Source organism: Homo sapiens, chromosome 12 (assembly GCF_000001405.40).
Source record: "Homo sapiens chromosome 12, GRCh38.p14 Primary Assembly".
NCBI lineage: Eukaryota > Metazoa > Chordata > Mammalia > Primates > Hominidae > Homo > Homo sapiens.
In genome coordinates, this window is record NC_000012.12 from 117,477,418 (window position 1) to 117,502,082 (window position 24,665).

At 46.3% G+C, this 24,665-nt stretch overlaps 1 protein-coding gene across 5 annotated transcripts in view; it reads right to left on the reverse strand.

Annotated features, from left to right (window-relative positions):
* KSR2 (kinase suppressor of ras 2) overlaps window positions 1-24,665 on the reverse strand; it is a 515,979-nt gene that overhangs the window by 24,406 nt on the left and 466,908 nt on the right. For all 5 annotated transcript variants that reach the window (XM_011538224.4, NM_173598.6, XM_011538225.4 and 2 more), the window contains 2 exons: window positions 8,178-8,274; window positions 6,999-7,132 (listed from right to left, as the gene is read on the reverse strand). In XM_011538224.4, coding sequence (XP_011536526.1) covers window positions 6,999-7,132; window positions 8,178-8,274 — 231 coding nt within the window. The remainder of the gene's footprint in view (window positions 1-6,998; window positions 7,133-8,177; window positions 8,275-24,665) is intronic.

Consider the following 24,665-nt stretch of genomic DNA (forward strand, 5'->3'; position numbering starts at 1 on the left):
CTGTGCTTGGCACAGAACAAGACCAACAAGGTCCCTTCCCTCCTGGAGCTTGCACTTTAGTAGGGAAAGAAGACAACAAATGAGTTCAATAAACAGGAAAAGCTAAAGATTGTGATAAGCATCGTACAAATAATTAAAATAGAGGATGCATCAAAGATAAGATGGATCTTACTGCAGGTAAACTGTGAGCTAAGATCTACGTGACATAAAGGATCCAGTTATGTGAACAAGGAGAATATCTAGACAGAAGGGGAAGTTAGGACAAAGTTCCAACAAGGGCCCCATTCAGGGTGTTCTAGAACCCTAAAGAACACCAGTGTAATTGGAACACATCATCCCATCCTATGTATCAAAGTATATACAACCAACTCCTTGCTGTTGGGCCTTGGGCGGGTGGTTCCCTCTTCCGCCATTATGAACAATGCTGCCATGAACATCTTTGGGTAGATACAGGGAATATCTCCCTTCATCCATGTTAATTTATTCCTTAGGTAAATTCTTAGATGTGGAAGGAGGCTGGCTCCCTTCTTTCACTGGAAGTCATTAGCAAGACAGAGCTTTCCATGTGGGTCTGAAATCTAAGCAGACCCCCTCTGAGATCTTCACTGACTCAAGACTCCTAGGAACTGGCTCATTAACACAGGGGAAGGGAGCAGTCAGCGGGAGAGGGGGTGCATATCTCGAATCATCCTCAAAAGTGAGGTCATTCAGGATGACAGCCTCCAGCATGAAGGTCTCTGTGGGGACCTGGGGCTAGCTAGATTCTTCCAGAGAGGGTTTCTGAGATGTAGAAGTTGTGACATGCTGCTCCCTCAAACGCACTCATTCATATCCCATAATCATGATTTTTGCCATATCTAAATACCTTCAAGAGCAGCATTATGCGATAGAACTTTCCATTATGCCAGAAATATCCTCTATATGGTCCAATGTGGCAGCCACTAACCACCATGACTATTGAGCACTTGAAATGTGGCTTACAACTGAAGAACTAAACTTTTCATTTTTTTTTTTTTTAATTTTAGAGACAAGGTCTGCTGAGACAGTCTGTCTATCACCCAGGCTGAAGTGCAGAGGTGAGATCATAGTTCATGGTCGCTTGAACTCCTGGCCTCAAGCGACCCTCCCATCTTCAGCCTATGAAGTAGCTGGGATTACAGGCGTGAGCAACCGCACCCTGCTAATTTTATTTTATTTTTTTTTAGAGATGTGGTCTTGCTATGTGATCTTGCTATGTTGCCCAGGCTGGTCTGAAACTCCTGGCCTCAAGGGATTGATCCTCCAACCTCAGCCTCCCAAAGTATTGAGATTATAGGCATGAGCCACTGCTCCTAGCCCTGAACTTTTCATTTTAATTAAAGTTAAATTTACATAGCCACATCTGGCTAGTGGCCACCAAATTGGACAACACTGTTCTAGACTATTATATATTAAGAAATGCATTTTTAACTTAAATATATTTCAATAGGTCACTCTGTAGTGTGGCCATAAATGGAGACTAGTGATTTTCTAATACACATTAAAATTAAGATAGAAAATGTTTGTTCATGTCCTCCCCCACATCAACTTGCAGATCACACCTGTAGAAACACTGGGTGGAGGAAAGATCCCTGAATGACGCTCCAAGAGTTTGGGGCTCAGGGTTCCAGTGCTGCAGTGACATTCACTAGCTGGGTAAGGCTGGATGTATCCCATACATGCGATTCTTTAAGATCTCTTTCATAACCCCTCCATCTCACACATGAAGGTAGCATCCATTTGGATATACTCGACTTTTTGTAGAACCCAAAACAGGGACTGTAGGAAAGGAAGCAAAGCCGGGTAACTGCGGCAATCACAACTCTTAATTGCATTTGGATGGTGGCTTACCACAGGTATCCCACCCTGGGCCACCCATCCACCTCCTGCACTCCCAGGCTAGGAGCAGACTGGCATGCATGCAACAGAAAGCAATGTGGCCAGGCAGACACCATTAAATTTGTTCTAATTTAGGATTTCTCAACCTTGGCACTATTGACATTTGGGTCTGGGCAGTTCTTTGTTGTTGGGGGACACGGGGGCTGTCCTGGGCATTGCAGGATGGTCAGCAGCATCCCTGGCCTCTACTCATTACAGGCCGTTAGCACCCCCCTCCCCCTAATCATGACAACTAAAAATGTCTTCAGACATCATCAAATGTCCCCTGGAGGGGAAAAATGGCCCTGGTTGAGAATCACTGTTCTAATTTATACAAAATACGGAAATGGTCCAAATCTCAGTGTTTCAGGATTAATAGCACATGACTTGCTCCTGCATTCTACACAAAAGACATGATACACACATCCTGTGCTAGAAACTACTACTCAAACTAACTAGCAAACACTTGAGTCAGCAGAGTTAAATCAGCTCTTGCTTCTAGAATCAGGAACACCCACAGAGGTTGAAGGCTCTTACTTACTAGCTATGGAACCTTGAGCAGACCCAAATTTCTATTTTCCCATCTATAAAATGGGCACATTAATTTGTACTTCACAGAGCTGTTGCAAGGATTAAAATGAGACAGTGCGTGGCACAGGACTGTGTCAGCTGCCAGAGACACGCAATTACTGGACATAATCATTACACATGTGTATGTGTGTGTGTGTGTGTGTGTGTGTGTGTGTGTTTATCTCGAGGACTCAGAAGTGGAGTTGAGACTAGAGCCCACAGTAGGAATGTCTTCCATGAAAGTCTTTGGCATAGGCCAGCCAACATTCTCCTGCAATGACTGGGCCACTGGGGGTGGGGTGGGTTGGGGTGCCCCTGCCAAAGGGAAGCTTCTCTGCTCCCATCTTTTTGCAAACACCCCTGCCACCTCTTCCTGACTCATGGGGTCAGCAGCTGGCATTTTGGGGCCAGGGCAGGAGGTAGAGTGGTGACCACGCCTGGCACGGGTGTGGTAGGGGGCTGGGAGACAGGCCTGGCACTAACACCCTGGGGTGCCCCGTTCCCATGGCGATGGGCCCACCGATGACAAACCCAAATCATCTTCATTATGGTTATTATGATTAATAACAGGCTTTGGGAGGCTGGCATGACAGCACTGGCATCTAAAACGATACCTTTTCTTGACGACGGCAGAACAGCTGGATGCTGGGGTCTGTCTGGATGTGCAGAACACACTCACATCACTGGGCTGCCCCATCCCTGCCTCGGGCTTGGTGGCGGGGGGGTCTCTCCCTGCTGGGCACCAAGGGCTATCCATACCCCAAGCTCTAACTGAGGGGAGGGCAGGAAGGCAAGTGACTCCTGCTGAGTGCCTACTGTTTGCCAGATTGTCCATCCCACTTAGACCTCATAAGCCCACAATCTGAGGGCTTATGAGGATAAGGAAACGGAGGCTCAAAACATTTAGGTGACCTGTCCAAATGGACAGAGCTGAGATCTGTTTGCACACAAGTCTTTAAAACCCCAGGGACTAGGCACCTCAACCCAATTCTACAAGAATTTCTGGAGAGAACCATTAAAGAGTAAAGCCCAGCTGGGCATGGTGGTGCATGCCTGTAAGCCTGGGACCTTGAAAGGCTGAGGTAGGAGGATCGCTTGAGCCTCGGAGGTTGAAGCTGCAGTGAGCCGTGATTGCACTACTGCATTCCAGCCTGGGTGACAGAGCAAGAGATCCTGTCTCGAAAAAAAGAAAAAAAAAGAGCAAAATGCTAAAATATCCTTCCACATCTCTATCCCATTTAATCATCAAAACAGCCTTATGAGATAGGTGCTATTAGTGCCTGCCCCTACTCCCATTTTACAGGTGAGGAAACTAAGGATCAGGGAACCAGGTGTGTGTTAAACACAAGTTTCTGGAATCTATCTCAAGGTATTATAGACTGAATTTTGCCTCCCCCAAATTTAGTATGTTGAACCCCTAACCCCCAATTTGATTGTATTTAGTGATAAAGCCTATAGGGAGGTGATTAAGGTTAAATGAGATTGTAAGTTCGAGGCCCTAATCCAATAAGATTGGTGTTCTTATAAGAAGAGGAGAGACATCAGAGACCTCTCTCTCTCTCTTTCGGTGCACAGAGAAGAGGCCATATGAGGACACAGTAAGAAGGTGGCCATCTACAAGCTGGGAAGAGAGCCCTCACTAGACACTAAATTTGCCAGCACCTTGATTTTGGACTTTCAGCCTCCAGAACTGTAAGAAAATAAATGTCTGTTGTTTAAACCCCTGAGTCTGGTATTGTGTTATAGCAGCCCAAGCTGACTAATACATGCACTCCCTAATTATTTGCTGACTGGCTGAGTGAGTAATGAATGAGGGAACTTCCAGGCCTATCTCCTGAGAGATACTGGCCCTGCTTCCTGCAAAGCCCAAAGCCTGGCCAGCTCCCTTCTCTCTCCACTCCTATAATCCAGCCCCCAGGTTGCTGATCAGGGCCATAGATGCCCCTTATTCAAGGGGTGTCTCCTGGCCTCTGGCGGCTGCACTAGGGGCTCCAGGCTGCAATGGGGGCAGTTACTGAAGATGCCTTGTCATGAACAAGAGGGAGTAAATGGACCTGAACCCCTGAGGGGACCCTGTGGATCCCTAGAGCTACACTGGTGGTATTCATAAATATTGAGGTAAATCTACAACCTGGGAAAGGTCCTGGGATTCATGGGACACCCCAGAGTTCCACCTCCCTGTCATAGTTTGCAACGCACTTGCTTTGGTGGAGCCCAGTTGCTACATAAGAAGTTTGACTACCCTGAGACTGCCATGGTGTGAGGAAGCCCAATGTAGTCAAGCAGAGAGGCTGCATGAAGAGGGAAAAGCAGGGAGATGAGAGAGACCCCATCAGCCCCCCAGATGTTTCAGCCAGCCCAGCCCAGCTGTGTGAATGTGGAAGCCTTCAGATGTCTCCAACTTCACCCCCTCCCCGCCATCTGATTGCACCTACAGGACAAACCGAGCACAAGAGCTCAGCTGAGCCCAGTCAACCCACAGAACTATGAGGGATGACAATACCTTGTTTTAAGCCACTAAGTTTTGAGATGGTTCATTGCAGAATAAAGGATAAAAGCACAAGAAGTCATTGATGGCTACTTGTGGGTGGCCAGGAAATGTGAATTTCTTGTTGGGAGATGTTGCTGAAGGCACTCCCTGGGTTTGTGTTGACAACCTGGCTGGGGCAGGGGTGGGAGGGGCTGCTCTCTGGACAAGGAGACCAGAAGCCACCTTGCCCTTGACTTGGTTGAACTAACTTCCTGGTTGACAATGGGTCTCCATGAATGAGCTAAAGGAAGGGATGCCCAAGGCATTCCATTTCTTTTTCTTCCTCTTCTCCTTGTGGCTTCAGAAAACTGAGTCTAAAGGAAGAAAATCAGAGGTCCTGCACCCCTTTCCTCCACCTCAGGGACAAGCCACTGTTGAGGAGAAAGAGAGAGGTATGGACATGCCACCAGGAGGGAAGAATTTCTGCTTTTTATAAAACAGCCCAGAAGCAAGTTAGAGAAAACTCTTACTGGGCCTCCTTTTGTCTTGATGCAAATACTTGGGTTGACAGTGAAGTCACCCAACATTGCGTCCTTGCAGTTCCCTTGGGACACTGGGAAACTGGGAAGGGTATGAGTTCCCTGCCAGTGAACCAGGAACTTAACTGCTGCTGGGGAGTCAGAGGGAAGAAGGGATTCTACACAGTCTTGCCCTCCCGGGCTTCTTGGGTTCCAACTGGAGGGACTCTCTTCAAGTATCTATTAATATATTTATATATTTACTGCCTACTTACTGCCTTATCTTAGGGACTACAAATAATTTTGTAGACTATGGTTAATCTTTCTTGGGTGGAGCAAAATCTGAAAAAGAAACAAGCGCCTGTTTGGTCCTCATCACACAGAAACAGCTACATGAAGTTTTGTCAAACTCCAAATGGTCCAACTTATAACAGATTCAAGGTGTCATATAACACAAACAAGATTCACTTTGTCCGGGTTCCTGGGGCATTCCTCAAAAAAATAAAAAAATAAATAAATAAAATAAAAAAAAATCAGTGGTTCTCAAAAGCAGCTGAAACTGAAGTAAAATGAGAGAAACTGTGGGGCTTTCTGGAAAGATGCACCATTCGTTATAAAATGCAGGATTATAAAAAACATGCAGAGGTTTAAAATGAGAGAGAGAGAGAGAGCGAGAGAGAGACAGCAAGAGAGAGAGAAGGAGAGAGAGTGCAGTCCAAATTAAAAGTCACAAGGGTAGACTTTCTGAATTATGGGTTGTTTATTTGAGATCAAGCTGTTTCTCATGTGGCCAACTCAATGCGGCTTGCTCTAGGGTGAGTAGTGGCTGAGAGTTAATTACTTAATGATGGTTAATGATTCTCCTGGGTGATACTGGGAGGTATATGCAAATTAATACTAATTGCTACAACTCAGCAGCAGCTACCCTTTGCGGAGCTTTTGAGGTGCATTGGGCACTGGGTGGATGCTTGATGCGTGTTCTCATTTTATCCTCACGAGAACTGACAGAGGAAGGCATCAACAAACCTACCACTTTTCTTGCAGACAAGGAAACTAAAGTTCAGAGACGTTGTTCGGCTTGATTAAAGTCGCATTTAATAAGTGGAAGAGCTGTGTCAGGCCATGGGTGCCTCTGACTTTAAATCTCTTGCTGTTAACTGTACTCTTCCTGTACTAAAATCACTTAATTCCTAAGAAAACTTTGAGCAAGGCCTCTTGGGTGATCTCAACTTCCAAGTGAATTACTTAGGGTTAGAGGAGAGTCCTCCAGTTAAATTAAAGGGTAGGGGCTTTGAAAGGTCTGGGGGTGCTCTGTGTCCAATCACACACACTCAAAGACAAGACAGGTGAGCAAGGTGCTGGCCCCCCCAGGGGGAAACAGAGCAGGGCCTTGGCATCCCACATCAGTAGAGCAGCTGCCCCACTCAGCTCAGCAACCTCAGGACCAACCCTGAGTCTAGGTCACTAAAGCCATTTGGACTAACTTCCCACCTCCTGACCATCATCTGTCAGGAAACTCTCCGGGTCTTCCCACTGCCTCTCACCTGCCAGCCTGCAGCACCCCAGAAATGCTGAAGAGTCCAAAGTCCGTGATGACCACTTTGCCGTTGTCATAGAAGACGTTCTTTGACTTGAGGTCCTTGTGTAGGATTCCCTTGGCGTGGAGGTAGCCCATGCCCTGCAAGAAGCAAGGAACAGAGAGTTGCCAGAGAAAAACCTAAGAGCTTGCTGCCACCCTGGCTTGAGTTCACATTCCTTGTCCTGAAGACTTGGCTCCCTAATGGGACCACACTCAACAGAGGCAGGGCCTGGGGTCTGACCGTGGGTCCTGGGGGTGAGGTCGGGGAAGGCATGGCAAGCGGGAACAGGCAGGGCCCCCAAGACACAAATCCACTGCCACTCTTAGACCACAGAAAGGCCAGCCCCATTTGCTCATCTGATTCCTGAAGAAGAAACAAAAAGATCCCCAGGGAAAGGAATTCAACCAACCATTTTCATCCACTTCCCCTTTAAATACTAACTCTTCCGCAAGACTAGATAGTCAGATCTACTTAACCTATGCTGCCGCAGAAGGCAATGAGTTCCTAAAGAGATGTTCACAACTGCTCATTAAGAACACACAGAAGAGTCTATTGGAGGCCTCGTTCAAGGGCAAACATCTAGAGTTGTGGTGGTTTCTTTTTTATTGCCTTTGTGAGCAGTCACATCTTTTATTTCCTCATGCAGCTCAGTCCTAACACCTCCAAATGAGAAATAAAAGCTTGAGTACAACTGACTAATAAGGCCCCTTCCAGAAAACACAGAATGTTCTTGTTTGTTTTAATCCAAAACAACACCCAACAATTTGATGTTTCCCTAGCAGCAGTGGAGAGAGATGGTTTCCACTCATGGAAATTCAAGGACTCGAAGGATGGTGGATCCTAACCAAGAGGGCTGAATAGCTTGTATGTGACCCCTGGTCCTTGCATAGGTCCAAGTACCATAGTGATGAGACACCAGATGGAAACCAAACATTGGTGGATAGTTCCTAAAGATCGTATCGAGGCAGAATTCTTACTTATACATGGCCTGGCATTTTTCAGGTCAAGTCTAATTTCTTTTAAGTCCAGATTGGTAGTCTGAAATCCAACCATGAATCTTAGGAGCCCTGGGGTAGGGGGGCTTCCCTGGGGGAAACTGGGTCTTTCTGAGATTTAGATAGGAGGCCCAAGAGCCGACAGTACCTTCACAATTTCTTGAGCAATCTGCCTGGTTTTGTTGACATCCAAAACGATTTTGGCATCCCTCACAACGGAATAGAGCGTCCGTCCCTTACAGAGGCTGAAAAGCAAAAGGACAAGATAAATTAATGGCAGTCGTTCAGAAGAAGGTGACCCACAACAGTTACTACAAGTGACAAATGATGGCATAGACACGTGGACATGCCACTATTGTGCTTATGAGATAATAAGTCTGGGACTGGACTTCAGATCTGGTTCTGGGATGGAGATCTGGGAGGAAGTTCTTGCAGATTCTTTAGAAACTTGGCCAATGTGGCTGACCGACAAGGACACCCACAGAATCTAGCCTAGTCCAGAAATGGGTTTGCCATGTCCAATCCATCCCAGAGGCTCACAGGTGGAAAGCAGCACATAAATCAAAAACTTCTGGGTCCTCAGACGCCACTCAGACAGCATTCTGTTGGCCATTCACACCAGCTGCATGCACTTACCAGGAGTCAGTGTGTGAGGACAGTGATGAAAGACCAGCAGAGTGGTGGCTGATGTGTATTAAGTATCATCAGCAAACGATGCAGTCAATTGTTTGGACAGGGATGTGTAAACACCAGTAATACCACCCCCAAACCAGACGCCTGTCTAGATAAAGAGTTTTTCAAACTATGTTCAGCCTCATTGAGTTCATTTCGAGGACCAGTAGTTTAAGATGAATGACAGGATGAAAAAGGACATTATGCACTGAAAGTAACACCTTCTCATTTAGTTGCCTGTATGCTCATCTGTCCTGTTCCTCCGCAGTGAGCACAATTCCCAGCACGCACAGAGCAGGCACCCACAAGCTGTCACTGAATGAATGAATTCTAGATTCATCATAGCACTCCCAGCCCCTAGCACCGTGACTGGCTCAGAGTATCCAATGTGGGCCAAAAGAAGAAAGAACGTCACTGTGAAAATTAATTTTCCATCTACATCAAAATCACAGTTTGAATTTTCCTCTTTTAACCTGTGATGTTATTGCTAAAATACTCCTGGCATTGTGTTCATTCATTTGGTGTTTACTGAGCCCTTGTTGTGTACTGGGCTTTGCTGAGATTGTATTTCCTGTGGTTGAAGCAAGAGCGCTGGCATCAGAGGGATCTCAGAATCCCAGCTCTGCTCCTTACTTACTGTATGTCTTGAGGTGGGTTACCTCACCTCTCTGGGCCTCAGTTTCCTCATCGATCAAAGGAAACTAATAATACTTAACCCTGTAGTTGAATACGAGGATTGAATGAGATAAAAGAGTTGGAAACAGGCCTTGGCATCCAGTGGGAAGTATAGCACAGTGGTTAGGAGCATGGGGGCTTAGAGTAGGACTAACGGGTTAGAATCCTGATCTGTCATTTAGTGGCTGTGTGACCTTGGGTGGGTGCATTAACCTCTCTGAGCTTCAGTTTTATTATCTGCAAAATGGGGCCAACAGCTGCTGCCTTTCTGGGTTGTCAGGAGAACCACATGAAATCAGGCATGTAAAGGTGTAGGCACCTCTCTATGCCTAGTACATTTCATGGTAACTTTCCATGAGATCACTGGCTATTATAAAAAGTTGTTAAGTGATTAATAAAATAGTAAACAGACACACATACACTTGTACAAATATATATAAGTGATATATCTATACACATATCACAACTGTTTATCTGTCCACCCATCCGTATACTAATCTAAAATGCCACTGATAGCCACCCATGATCTTTGACTAACATTTTTTTCTTCATCTGCTTAAGGCGACAGTCCCCGGGTAGCTGACTCACAGAAAGTCTGATTCACATGTCTGAGGAGGTCACCCAGCCAGTTGGCAGGAGGCAGCCCAGAATGAGTCAGGGCTGACCCTGCATCCCCCAGGTTGCTGTCCCAGGCAGGGCATTTGCTGTGGCTGCTGGAGCAGAGGTGGAGGAAGGGTGGGCAGAGCAGCCAATTACTCCATGTTGACATTTCAATATTTGAGACTGTGGGCAGAGTCCCTCCCCTGGGTACTTAGTTCCTGAACAGCCACCTACACTCATCACAGGCCAGATCCCAGAAAATACCCTCCCCACTGCAGACCGCAGAGCAAATCACCGCCAACAGGCTCCAAGACTCCCTGGACTCTCCTGCTCAGGGTAACTGCAGGAAAGTCTCAAGCTTCAGATTTCCACGCCTTGTCTTCTTTCCCTCCTTACAACCTCTTTCCCTTCAGCAGCTGCTGAAGTCTTTGCTTCTCTCACTCCCGTATGACCTCAAGAGCTTCTGGAGAAACTACCGCACCAGTTTGGCACAGCTACTAAAGTGAAATATACATACAAATAACCCTGATATGGTTTGGCTGTGTCCCCACCCAAATCTCACCTTGAATTGTAATAATCCCCAAGTGTCAAGATCAGGGCCAGGTGGAGATAATTGAATTATGGGGGCAGTTTCCCCCATACTGTTCTCCTGGTATTGAATAAGTCTCATGAGATCTGATGGTTTTATAAAGGGGAGTTCCCCTGCACAAGCGCTCTTGCTTGCCACCATGTAAGACGTGCCTTTGTTTCCCCTTTGCCTCCCATCATAATTGTGAGGCCTCTCCAGCCATGTGGAACTGTGAGTCCATAAAACCTCTTTCCTTTATAAATTACCCAGTCTCCGGTAGGTCTTTATTAGCAGCGTGAAAACGGACTAATACAAATCCACAACCAGCGATTCTTCCTCTAAGTAAGTACCCAACAGATATGAATTCTCATATTCACCCCTACACATGCACTAGAATGTTAAAGCAACCTATCTGTTGAAATCCCAAACTAGAACCAACCTGCAATGGATTGAATGTTTGTGTCCCCAATTCCGTATGTTGAAATCCTAATCCCAACGTGATGGTATTAGGAGGTGAGGCTTTGGAAGATAATTAAGTCATGAGAGCGGAGCCTCATGAATGGGATTAGTGCTCCTTTAAAAGGGACTCCAGCTAGTTCTCTTGCTGTTTCCTTGCCATATGAGGATATAAGGAGAAGTCAAAAGTCTGGAAGACGGCCCTCCCCAGAATCTGCCCATGCTAGCACTGGATCTTTGACTTTTCAGCCTTTGGAACTGTGAGAAATAAATTTCTTTTTTCTTTTTTTTTTTTTTGAGATAGAGTCTCGCTCTGTCATCCAGGCTGGAGTGCAGTGGCGCAATGTTGGCTCACTGCAACCTCTGACTCCTGGGTTCAAGTGATTCTCCTGCCTCAGCCTCCCAAGTAGCTGGGACTACAGGCTCAATTTCTGTTGTTTCTAAGCCACTCAGTCTGCAGTACCGTGTCACGGTAGTCCAAACTAAGACGCAACCCAAATGTTCGTCAACAGAAAAGTGGATAAAATATGATATATACTTATAACAAAATATGTTCATGCTGTACTATATAAAAATAACCAAGCTACTGCTAACTGCAAAAAGCATGGATAAAGCTCACCAACATAATGTTGAGTGAAGGAAGCCTGACACCCAAGACTACTCCATTTATATAAAGTGCATAAGCAAATGAAACTGACCTACATGCTGAAAGTCGGCACAGTGATGGCCCTTGTGTGTGTGTGTGTGTGGTGGGCGGGGGTGCTGGAAGGAGCATTATTAGGGGGCTGGGGGAAGGCAGTGTTCTGTGTTTTGATTTGGGCGCTGGTTACATGGATACATACTTAGTGGAAACTCATTGGGCTGTTCTTTTATGATCTGGATAATTTTGAAGGTACGTTATCCTTCCAAAAAATGTTTTAAAAAGTCAGAGCCTGGGCAACATGGCAAGACCCCAATTCTACAAAGGATACACAAAAAAACTAGCTGTGTGTAGTGGCACATGCCTGTAGTCCCAGCTATTTGGGAGGCTGAGGAGGGAGGATCTCTTGAGTCCAGGAGGCAGAGGCTGCAGTGCATGGAGATTACACCACCACAATCCAGCCTGGGTGACACAGAGTGAGACCCTGTCTCAAAAAAAAAAAAAAAAAAAGTAAGCAGGGAAAGAATTAACAATTAATATAATTAATGTATGGCGTTGAAATCTGTAAAAAATGTAAAGCGGCACTGATACCCAAGGTATCCTTTTCTAAAGTCTTTACCCAGTGAAGAGTATTTGCAGATGGGCAATGTCTACAGAGGAATTTGGGGCTCCAGGCCTGGCTGTGCCCACCTGGATGTTTATCAGGAACAAAGCTGGAGACAAGTTCAAGATGAAAGCTGAGCTTTAAAGATGAGCAGGCCTCAGGCAGATGTCCAGGATGACTGAGGCTAGGGCGGCCCCGGCAAGTCAGTCCAAGTGTCCACAGCAACTGCTCTGAGCTTGGAATTCCTCATGACTAATAATGGTGGCCTAAAAGCCACTCGCAGTGTGGGATGTGGGGAAAGGAAGGGAGAAGAGGATGAAAGTTTACTGAGTATGTGCTTAGGACCTATATCACCTCCATGATTCCTTCTAGCAATGCTGCAACCCCTATATATATAATAGCAAACCCTATTATATCTATTTTATGGGTGAGGATATGGACACCTAGAGGACCAGCTCGTGGATGCATAGCCTTGATGGGAACCCATTCCCGATCTTCTTCCTATCTTCTCCTCCACTGTGTGGGTGCCCAGTTATCAGACATGATTCTTGAGCCATTAATTAGATATCACAGCTAAGGGAACAGAGGAGCACAAACTGAGTCCAAATCCCGACTCCAGCATTCACTACTTGCTGGGTGACCTTCAGAAATGACTTCAACCTCAGTTTCCATGTCTGTAAAATGGGCACAGCAGAAACAATACAGGCTGACATGTCCTGGGCACATTCTATGTGCCAGACACTAGCCTAAGGATAAGAGTCTTACAAAGTGGGTATTCTTGCTGTATCTCGTTGATTCCAAAGATGCACATCTCTAAAATCAGAATGTGTCCTGCAATCATTGACAGATCATAGTTTCATTGGCACTACATTTCTTTCTTTGTAGCCCATAAAATAAATGGTGAATATTCTTTTCTTTGAGATGGGGTCTCACTATGTTGTCCGGGCTGGTCTCAAACTCCTGGGCTAAAGTGATCCTCCTGTCTCAGTCTCCCAAAGTGCTGGGATTACAGACATGAGCCGCTGCACCCAGCCTAAATGGTGAATATTCTAATTGAAGGTATCTTCAATGATTTAATGAAGCATGGTATCAATCTCATTTTATAGATGACAAAATTGAGGCTCAGGGGTTAAGTAGAGCGGGGATGAATTTAACGTGTAAAAATTGTACATATTTATTGTGTAGCACATGATGTTTTGATATATGTATACATATGGAATGGCTAAATCAAGCTATTGTATTTATCTCACATTTTTTTGTGTGCGGTGAGAACACTTAAAATCTACTCCCTCAGCAATTTTCAAGTATATAACCTATTGTTATTGATTATAATCACCATGATGTTCAATAGATCTCTTGAACTTATTCCTCCTGTCTAAATGAAGTTCTGTGGCCTTTGATCAAAGTCTCTCCACTCCCCATACTCCCCAGCCTCTGGTAACCACCATTCTACTCAATTTCTATGACTGACTTTTTTAGATTCCACATATAAGTGAGATCATGTGGTATTTGTCTTTTAATTAATATATTTATTTTGAGATGGAGTCTCACTGTGTCACCCAGGCTGGAGTGCAGTGGCGCCATCTCAGCTCACTGCAACCTCTGCCTCCCGGGTTCAAGTAATTCTCTTGTCTCAGCCTCCTGAGTAGCTGGGATTACAGGTGCCTACCACCACGCCTGGCTAATTTTTATATTTTTAGTAGAGATGGGGTTTCACCATGTTGGCCAGGCTGGTCTTGAACTCCTGACCTCAGGTGATGCCCCCATCTCGGCCTCCCAAAGTGCTGGGATTACAGGCCTGAGCCACTGCCCCTGGCTGGTATTTGTCTTTTTATGCCTGCCTTTTTTCACTTAGCATAATGTCCTCTAGGTTCATTCATGTTGTCACACACGATAGGATTTCCTTCTTTTTTTAAGGCTGAATAATACTCCGCCGCATTTATATGCCACATTTTCTTGATCCATTCATCTGTTGATGGATTCGAGTTGATTCCATATCTTGGCTATTGTGAAGAGTGCTACAATGAACCGGGGGAGCACAGATCTCTCTTCGACATGCTGATTTCCGTTCCTCTGGATAAATACCCAATCGTGGAATTGCAGGAACTGGGGTTTGAATGCAGGCCACCTGGATCTGGAGGCTATGTTCTTAAAATCCATCTTTTGCTTCTTAACAACTTTCTCTGAGTCTCTGGCATGTCATAAGCCCTCAGAAAGTGGTAGCTGTAATGTCACTATCCCCATCGCCTACGGCAATGAAGATTAACGAGGTCTGCTGGTAGTACAGTCCATCTGGAGGTCAGCAGAAAGTGTTTTAGTGGCTCAATAGTGTATTTAGTATCTCTCTAGCTTCTAGTGCACATGCACACATGCACCTCTCGGTATTTCTGTACACCAAAAATCATCTTTCTCCAAGAAGAGGGGCAAGGCCTGGGAATTCTCCATCTTATCTGCAGGCTACCCCACCTCTCCCAGCCTGGCCTCAGGCAGTACCCTCAAGGCTGCCCTTTGAGTCCCTATCTCAGGTGACACAGAGAGCCTTTGGCTAAGATGGCACTGTGGGTACAAGATGTTTATTATAAACCAACCTAAAAGGGGCTTGTCAGAAACAATGAGATAAAATCATCTAGAAGGTTTGTCTCTGAGGGCCTCTGTCCAGACTGGCTCATTCTGCCAAAACAGTGACTGGGACAGAAGTCTGAATGCCTGTGGCAGCCATGTCCTTTCCCTCCTCCAAACGCTTCAGCACCAAGCCCAGGTGGGGAGCAGGGGCTTTTTCTGGGAGCAGCCACCTCTGAGGACTGACACCCTGGCTCCCAGCCCAGCTCTGTCACCTGAAGCCCCCACGACCTTGGGGCACACTGCATCTCATGGGGGCACAGGCTCTGCCTCTATAACCAGGAGTGTGGTGAACTGAATAATGGCTCCAAAGATGTCCACATCCTAATCCCTGGAACTGGTGAAAATTTACCCTACATGGCAAAGGAGACTTTGCAGATGTGATTGAGTCATACTCTTGAGATAGACAGATTATCCTGGATTAGCCAGGCGGGCCAGATGGATGTAATCGCAGGGTCTTCAAAAGCAAAGGGGGAGACAAAAGAGAGAGGCAGAAGGAGATGTGATAGAAGAGGGGGCTGAATGGTTGTGATGGGGGAGAAGGACTCAACCCACCATCGCTGACTTTGAAGATGGAGAAGGGGGCACGAGCCAAGGAATGCAGGCAGCCTCTAAAAAGCTGGAAAAAGGCAAGAAAATGGATTCTCCCCTAGAATCTCTAGAAGGAGCACAGCCCTGCCAACATCCTGATTTTAGCTCCATGAGACCCACTTTGGACTTCTGACTTTCAGAACCATGTTCTTGTTGTTTGTTGTTTCAAGCCACTAAGACAGTGGGGCAGTAAGTGCTGCCTCGTGAGCAGATGGGAGGTTGAGATGAAAGCACACAAGCGCTTCATCCAGTGTCCAGCTAAAGCGTTTACTCCTTCACCAGCTGCTCATATTATCACTAATAATATTACCATGAATATTATTGCTAATAATATTCTTCTTCCTGAATGACGACAACTGTTCCTCACTGTCTCTCTGGCTTCCCCAGTTCATTCTTCGTCCAGTACTATGAGCGATTGCTTCAAAATGCACAATTGATCAGGTCACTCCACTGCTACAATGACTCCCCAGCACTCTCTGGATAGAGAGTCTCCCAGTGCCTGGAGGTCCCATATAGTCTGGCTCACACACACCATTTTCCCTCTTCTCATATGACTCTCCCTGTCATTCACGGAGTTCCAATCACACCAGCCCATCTCCGAGCCTTTGCCTCTGCCATTTCCTTGGCCTGCAATGCTTTTCCCACTTGCCTCAAAAGCCTCCCATGGCCTCTCCAACTAGGTCACTCCCCCCAATAGGTCCCTGAAGCACTGTGGACTCCACCTTTGCAACACCTGCTGAGGTTGTAATTGAACAGGTGTTGCCTGGAGCCTATGATGACGAACTGTCTCCCCCTCCAGACTGTAAGCCTTAAGAGGACAGTTACATGGTTTGGCTGTGTCCCTACCCAAATCTTAACTTGAATTGTATCTCTCAGAATTCCCATGTGTTGTGGGAGGGGCCCAGGGGGAGGTAATTGAATCATGGGGGTGAGTCTTTCCTGTGCTATTCTCGTGATAGGGAATAAGTCTCACGAGATCTAATGGGTTTATCAGGGGTTTCTGCTTTTGCTTCTTCCTCATTTTCTCTTGCTGCTGCCATGTGAGAAGTGTCTGTCACCTCCTGCCATGATTCTGAGGCCTCCCCAGCCATAGGGAACTGTAAGTCCAATTAAACCTCTTTTTCTTCCCAGTCTCCGGTAGGTCTTTGTCAGCAGCGTGAAAATGGACTAATACGGGCAGGGACTGGGTTTATCTGGTTAATGTTACAGGTGCTGAACACACGAATGAATGAATGGATGCAGTGCCTTAGGCTGCTTCCCATGGCCAGACCTTCCCTTCCAGTATTCCAGGGAGTGAGATCCCCATCATGGAGTGACAACCAATAAAACATAACAGCTTCTATGGGGGTCTGCACCTGCGGTCTCCTTTGCCACAGTCCTCACCACTCTGTAGTGTACCACACCTGGTCTACTTCCTGCATTTACACACCTACCTAGACCCCATAGGTGTTTAAACACTAGGCCAGTGGTTAACAAACCTGAGCAGGCACTAGAATCTCCTGGGAAGCTTTGTTAAAACAAAGGTGGCTGGCACTACCCCAACCACCTTTAACCTGCAAATAGAGTTTCTGATTTGCATTTCTAACAAGTTTCCAGAAAATGCTGATGCTGGGGGTCCAGGGAACCCCACTTTGAGAACCACCGCTCAAGCCCACTCTCCTTTTATGGAGGCCCAGAGGTCATCTCTTAAGTTCAAAATCCACTACATGGATGCCAGAATGGTCCTGGCACAGTGTTCTAGGTGCAGGAGATACTGTATGCACGACAGACCTAGTCCTTAATCCTACAAGCTGAAGGTCTAGTGGAGAAGGAAGGCAATAAACAAATAAATGAGACTTCAGAGAGATACAAGTGCTGTAAAGAGAATGCAGAGACTTATTGGATAGAGAGTAGATGGAGTTGGGGGCATCTTTAGCCAGGGTGCCCAGGGAAAGCCACTCTGGGGAGGTAATCTTTATTCTGAGAGCTGAATGAAGAAAAAAGCCAGGCATGTGGAAATCTGGGGAGAGAACTCCAAGCTGGGGAAACCAGCCAGTGCAAAGGCCCTGAGGTAGGACAACGTGTGGCATGCTTGAGTAACACGGCAAAGGCCATCTGGCTGGAATCCAAAGAGTGTCTCCCAGTGGCTACTCTCTACAGGTGTTTGCCTTCCAAATAAAAGACATAGATAGCTGGGTGCAAATAGTCCCTGGCGCTGCCTGGCTTGAGCTCCCAAGGCAGTTGGTTTCAAAGTCAGCTGTTATTTCAAAAAACACTCGAGCTGTCAGAGGGATTTACAACCCCTCTGCTGCTCACTCCCTTTTAAGCATTCCCCACTTCTTGAAACTCAAATCCCAGTTAATTGTCCCATGCTCTTTCCCCCTCCCTTGAGTAAATAAATCACATTCCAAGTTACAGGTCGCACACTCCATCAAATTCCAGCCTCCGGCAATCTCTAACTTCCAAGTTGCTCATGAATCTAACACTCAAGATATTAAACCTTGGGACTCTGGGGCTTTATAATAAAAAATGCCAGGTTAGCTTCCTATAAAAATGGGACATGCCAGAAAGCAAGTGAGAAATGCCAGCTGTCTGCCACCTGCTTAACTCAACGTGTGTCCAGGAAATGAAGAGTTATAGAGTTCCATTAAGTAAGGGGCTGGCTGGGGAAGGCTCACATCCTAGCCAGACAAGAAAGATGACAGTGGCCTGCCAGGCATCAGAATATGCAAAGACAGAGCCTAGCTGCCCACGAGGGCACTGAGCTTTTGTTAATGCAGGCCCTCCCTCCCCTCCTTCAGCCTTTGATATTGCTGCAAAGCTCAGAAGTGGGGAGGGAAAAAGGAAGCGTAGACTCTCTGTCTTGCTGAGTTCTTCTCCCCAGAACTGAATCTGATTTTGCTAAGTCAAGAGGTCAGAGGCGGCCGGGCGCAGTGGCTCACACCTGTAATCCCAGAACTTTGGGAGGCCAAGGTGGGCGGGGTCACAAGGTCAAGAGATCGAGACCATCCTGGCCAACATGGTGAAACCCTGTCTCTACTAAAAATACAAAAATTAGCCAGGCGTGGTTGTGTGCGCCTGTAGTCCCAGCTACTCAGGAGGCCGAGGCAGGAGAATTGCCTGAACCTGGAAGGCAGAGGTTGCAGTGAGCCGAGATTGCACCATGGCACTCCAGCCTGGCAACAGAGGGAGACTCCGTCTCAAAAAAAAAAAAAAAAAAAAGAGGTCAGAGTCTGGCTGCTCTGGGCTCTTCAAAGACTGAGATGTGGGGTTCTGCCCATTAGGGGCTGTCCCTTCTGCCCCAGACTGTGTATGACTCCAAGCTGCTGGGCATCTGGGTGACCTTCTGCCCTCTCTGGTCTAGGCTTCATAGGGAGGGAGTATTCCCACCCCACAGGCAGCCAAGTTGGAGGTGTAAGCCTCCAGGTCACTCCAGGAAGAATTGCAGGGAAATGGTAACCTGGCATTCCTCTACCTCTTGTCACATTGTGGGGTCCAGCCTGGGACCTGCCTTTGCTGACACTGTCCAAAGACACCCTGAGACATGCTCTTCCCCAATCCTGCATCATATTTTCTCAGCATCTCCTAACGATGGGGCTGCACATCTCATTCAGTATCTTTAACATTGCAATCATTCAAGATCCGCCCACTTGTATTTATATGAATCTGCCAGATCAGCCAACTCCTATTTATCACTTAATAGCTTTTGTTAAATGTACTGCCCTTGGGGGAAAAATCAGTGTATTTTAAAGAGATACTTTCTGTCATTACCTTCTATCATTGCCAGATGGAAAGCTAGAATCCCTAGCCCCAGGTAAGAGTAAAAATAAATACAATGAAAACAAACATATATTAAAAAACAAAGTGAAATCCTAGTTTGGCACTGTGGTCTGCCAAAGGCCCTAAGTTTGAGGGCTTCTCTTTTTGTAAAAAAAACAAAACAACAAAACTAGTTTAGCAAGTTAGAGTTAGAAAGGTATCAAATACTAGCACTGAACAGAGATTTTTTTTTTTTTTTGAGACAGAGTCTCGCTCTGTTGCCCAGGCTGCAGTGCAGTGGCACAATCTCAGCTCACTGAAACCTCTGCCTCCCGGGTTCAAGCGATTCTCCTGCCTCAGCCTCCCAAGTAGCTTGTACATGGTGGTACACACCTGTACATGGTGGTACAGGTGTGTACCACCATGCTTGGCTAATTTTTATATTTTTAGTGGAGACAGGGTATCACCATGTTGTCCAGGCTGGTCTCAAACTCCTGACCTCAGGTGATCCACCTGCCTTGGCCTCCTGAAGTGCTAGGATTATAGGCATGAGCCACTGTGCCAGGCCAAAGATGTTTTCCTTATTGTCACAATGATGGTGAGTGCAGGTGACAAGAAGGGCTGACTCTTTGCTCGAATGAGCTGACATTCTCATGAGGAGACAATATGCAAATAAAATAATTGCAAGTTATAATTAGGGCAATAGAGAAACAAACTAGGTGCTAGATGCTTCCATTAATAGGATCACCAGGGTAGGTACCTAAGGAGAGGCAGCAGGGGCCCCCTTCCCACTACATTGTGTTCTTTCAAGGCAAAGACTCTTCATTAACTTGTGACAACTTCTAGCATAATACTCCTTATCAAATCCCTCCACGCAGGGCAGCATCATCATCCTGTTTAGGATGACGACCATCTTTAGAGGGCCTACCAGGATGCCAGGCACAGAGGCAAAAGGTTTCCGGGCAGCACCTCATTACATGCTTCTTATAACTCTCTAAAGAGGGTACAGACCAGGAGACTGGCGCAATAAGTCAGCCTAGTTAGGAGCATACACTTTAGAATCAGAACCACCTGAGATAATCCGCCACTTCCTGGCTACGTGATTTTTGGCAAGTTACCTAAAAGCTTTGGAACTCACAGTGCTTTGTAACCTCTGAGGTGGGGGTGTACAGTCTGAATCGAATTCATATTCCAAGGGGCTCAGCCTTGCTTTGGAGACTCCCTAGCTGTTATTTTTTGAGAGCAGGAAATAAGCATCTTGCCACTTCTGTCTTTTGCACAAGTGCGTGTGATTTTATGTCCAACTTTAATGCCCACTACTCAGCAGTACTTGCAGGTTAAATGAGATAAGATGATGGTCTCCGTTGATGGAGTTTTCTCCTGCAAGGCACTGTCCTGAGAACTTCTCGCACCATCTCCCCTAGTAGGAGAGACATGATTTACAAATGAAGAAATTCATGTGCAGGAAGGTAAAGATTACCTGCGCCAGGGTCCTACAGTGAGTAGGCAACAGGGTCAGGATTGGAGTTCAGGACTCAAACCTTCACCTCTTTTCAGGATTTCATAAGCTCGCCAGGAAAAGATGACTTAGCAGAGCAGGTGACTCCGGAGATTCAGAGAGCCTGACCTCTGAACCCTCATTTGCTCACTGAGCTCAGCTGAGACTACCCCATTCCAACTCTAGGCCTTTCCTTCCACCCCCCAAATTCAGGGCAGGGCCATGTTAATCCTTATCATGCATTTGCTGCTTCTGTTTGGGAATTCCCAGCTGCTACCCAGAGACAAGCAAAGCAGGCTGCAGGTGGCTAGAGCTAGAAGGTCTCAGAGCTGCTGGATGCATGCTTGTCCACACTGGCCCAGGGGAGGGGCTGAGGAACTGCTCTTGGAATGAGTGCATGGATAAACAGAGCAATGAATGACTCCTATCCTTTGTCTTCTTGGGGATAAGCATCCTGTGTCCCCTGTAGCTCGGGAGGGCTGTGTTTCATGCCAAGTGATACGATTTGGCTGTGTCCCCACCCAAACCTCATCTTGAATTGTAGCTCCCATAATCCCCATGTGTTGTGGGAGGGACCCAGTGGGAGATAATTGAATCATGGGGACAGGCCTTTCCTGTGCCATTCTCGTGATAGTGAATAAGTCTCACAAGATCCGATGGCTTTATAAAGGGGAGTTTCCCTGCGCAAGTTTTCTTCTCTTGTCTGCCGCCATGTGAGATGTGTCTTTCACCTTCTGCCATGATTGTGAGGCCTCCCCAGCCATGTGGAACTGTGAGTCCATTAAATTTCTTTCTTTTGTAAATTGCCTAGTCTCAGGTATGCCTTCATCAGCAGTGTGAAAATGGACTAATACACTAAGATACGCCTTTACCTGCTGTCTTAACACATGAAATAGACCATGAGCCAAGCCCAGCTCAAATTAGTAATGAACTTTGAGCCTCTTCCATGAGCAAGGTACCACAGGGGCAAAAAGACCAAATAGACCACTGGTCCTGCCCTCTAGGGCTAGACATCAAAGGATATCAAAACGCTGAGATCTTTTTGTTGACTCACCAGAACCACACTTATTTTTCAACTCAACAGTAGCCTGAATTACTGTTTTAAAAACTGTACACATATATCACCTAATTCATATGCATTAAAAATCCAGGGAGAGGATAGCCCCCACGGTGTTAGCAGAGCTATCTCTGGCTACTGGGATTAGGAGGTTTTATAAGGTTTTTTTTCCCCTTGCTGCTTATCTTTCTTTCCTAATTTTTCCTCCAATAAATGCATGTTCCTTTTGTAAATCGAGAAAAAAGGAAGAAATGAGAAAAGCACCTCTGACTTCTGACTAGAGTAAAACCAGACACATATGTTTATTCTGTAGACGGTTTGGAAAACATTGAATCGGTGGGGAACTGAAATGAGAAAGTGGAGTCTGAACCAAATTCATACTCCAAGTAGCTCAGCCTTGCTTTAGAGACTTTCTGGCTGTTACTCTGCGAGGAGAGGAAACATTTTTGCTCCTTCTGTCTTTTGCACAGGGTTTAGCCCACTCTGGTCCTCTTTGGAAGTGGGCACACAACAAATGCTTGGTGATTACAGAGAAACCTAATAACACTCTTGGCTCAGGAAAGTTTGGTCCCTAATGAGGAAGACAGAGTTTACTGTTCAATTTTTTTTTTCTAATAACTGTGTAGCTGATAAGAGACAAAAGGGCAGGCAGACGCGTGGTAGGCATAACCTCCACCTCAAATGGCTGTGTTCTTTCCACCCATGGGCCCCACAGCCCAAAAGGGCACAGGAAGGGAGGCTGAGGACACTGGGAGGAGGGCCTGTGTAAGGCAGTCAGCCGGGGTGGAGTGTGTGGGGCATTGCTCCCTTCTGCCACTGGGGCTGAATCAACCCTGGATCTGTTGGTCAGGTCCGTTGCTTGGTGAAGGAGATGGGAAGATAAGGAGATGGGGAGGGAGGTAAGAGGAAGGGGAGGCTGGGAAGTTATCTGAGCACGGAACCTACCTGGCCATGGTGTAAGACATCACGTGTAGAAGAGAAAACAGGCATAGAAATGTTTTGAACTCAGGTTGTAGACTAACATTAGGAATTACTGGATCTGCTCCTTTCACAGGGGAGATGGAGAAACCGGAATGCAGAAGGGGGATGGAATTTCCCAAGGTTGTGTTTAGAGTGACACAGGCTGGCTGCAACCCAGCTTTGTCTGAAGCTAAACCCAATGCTTGTAGACACAGAGCTATGCTGCCTTCTCAGAATAATAAGTGGCATTTCTGAACCTCACCACGAGGACTCTGCTGAAGGTTTTACATAAATCATATCCATAGATTGTAATCCTAACCTAACCCCATAAGACAGGTGTTATTCCTATCCAACAAATGGGGAAACTGAGACTCAAGGAGTTCAGGTCATTTGCCAAGGTCATGTAGCTAAGATATATGAGACAGAACTGGCATTCTACCCTAATTCTATTTGATACTAGCATCTTATTCCTAACCACTAAGCTATATGGCCTCTTTGGAAATGGAAGGAACAGAGGCTGAGGAACAAGGGAATCAAAGTTTCCCAAGCTCCTGAGATAAGCCTTGTACTCATTCTACCCACACAAGAGCCCTGAGGGGGAGCTTTTCATCCTCCCGTCCCTCCAATGAGGAAGTAGTGGCTCAAGAGATTGAATGACTTGCCCAGTAATCCTCTCTGCCAGGACATGCAGCAGGAGCTGGGTCCAGTTTGACCAAAGCCCCTGGGCCTTCCACTGCCTCCCCCTTTTCTGAGAAGGCCTCGAGCGCTGGGCCACCCCAGAACATGCCCAACTAGCCCACTATTCAGACTGCTGTAGGTCAAGGGTTTGCAGAGTGTAGAATTTGCAAGACTGCAGATACTGAGGCTTGGTAGAATCAGGCTTCTGAGGTGGGAGTTGCAAACTATGGCCCGCGGGCCAAAAGTAGCCCAAAGCCTGTTTTTTGCATGACCCATTAGCTAAGAATGATTTGATACTCCTTTAAATGGTTGAAACAATTTCAAAAGAAGAGTAATATCTTGTGCCATGTGAAAATTATATGAAATTCAAATGTCAGTGTTCATAGTAAAGTTTGATTGGAAGACAGCCATACTTTTTGTCTGCAAATTGTCTACAGCTGTTTTCATGTTAAAATAGCAGAGTTAAGGAGTTGTAACAAAGCCCATATGGCAAAGCTGAAAATATTTACTGTCTAGCCCTTTACAGAAAAGGTTTGCTGACCCCTGCTCTAAGAAATCAGGGTGGAGCCAACAGAAATTGGGCTACTCAAACTAGAAGGGCTTTCTTCAATTTCAGCCATTCTCCTCTGCATTGGGGTGCGGTTAAGGTCACGTGGATTTTCCATTCATTCACTTGCTCACTCAGTCAACCATTTGTGCCTCTATGCATGTGCTGAGCTAACACTTCCAGAGCCCTGCCAGGCACTGTGCCAGGTGTGGGGATACTGAGTCTGGTGGGCAGGCACATATTACATGAGAAAGAGCCAGCAAGTGTCATAGGTCTAAGGACAAGGTTCTGCTTAGGAGTGAGTTGGGCTAAAGAGGGAGAAGGAACTTGAACTCGGGCCAGTGCATATGTAGCCAAATAAGGGAGCTTATCTGCAAGCCTGTGTTACGCAAGGTGGAGACAGACTGAACTACCCGCTGCCACCCATCAGGGAGGGGCGTGCCCCAGCCACACAATCACTCAAACGTGGAAGCATATGTCAAGTCCATGTTTTCTGCCTCTTCCTTTCCCTAATTCCCTGCCCAAACTCCTATATCACATCCTCACAGAGCCTTCCCAGGCAGCTCCTGGACATTAAATTAGCTGGACAAATGTTCACCCAAGTGAGACAAATCCAAAATTGCTTTAGAATGTCTTTCTTACAGACCACTGACTTCAAAACGGCCATTGGGAGGAAATGACCTGACCCACTGTCACCACACAAGGAATCACTGTAACTGGATCAAAAGCCACA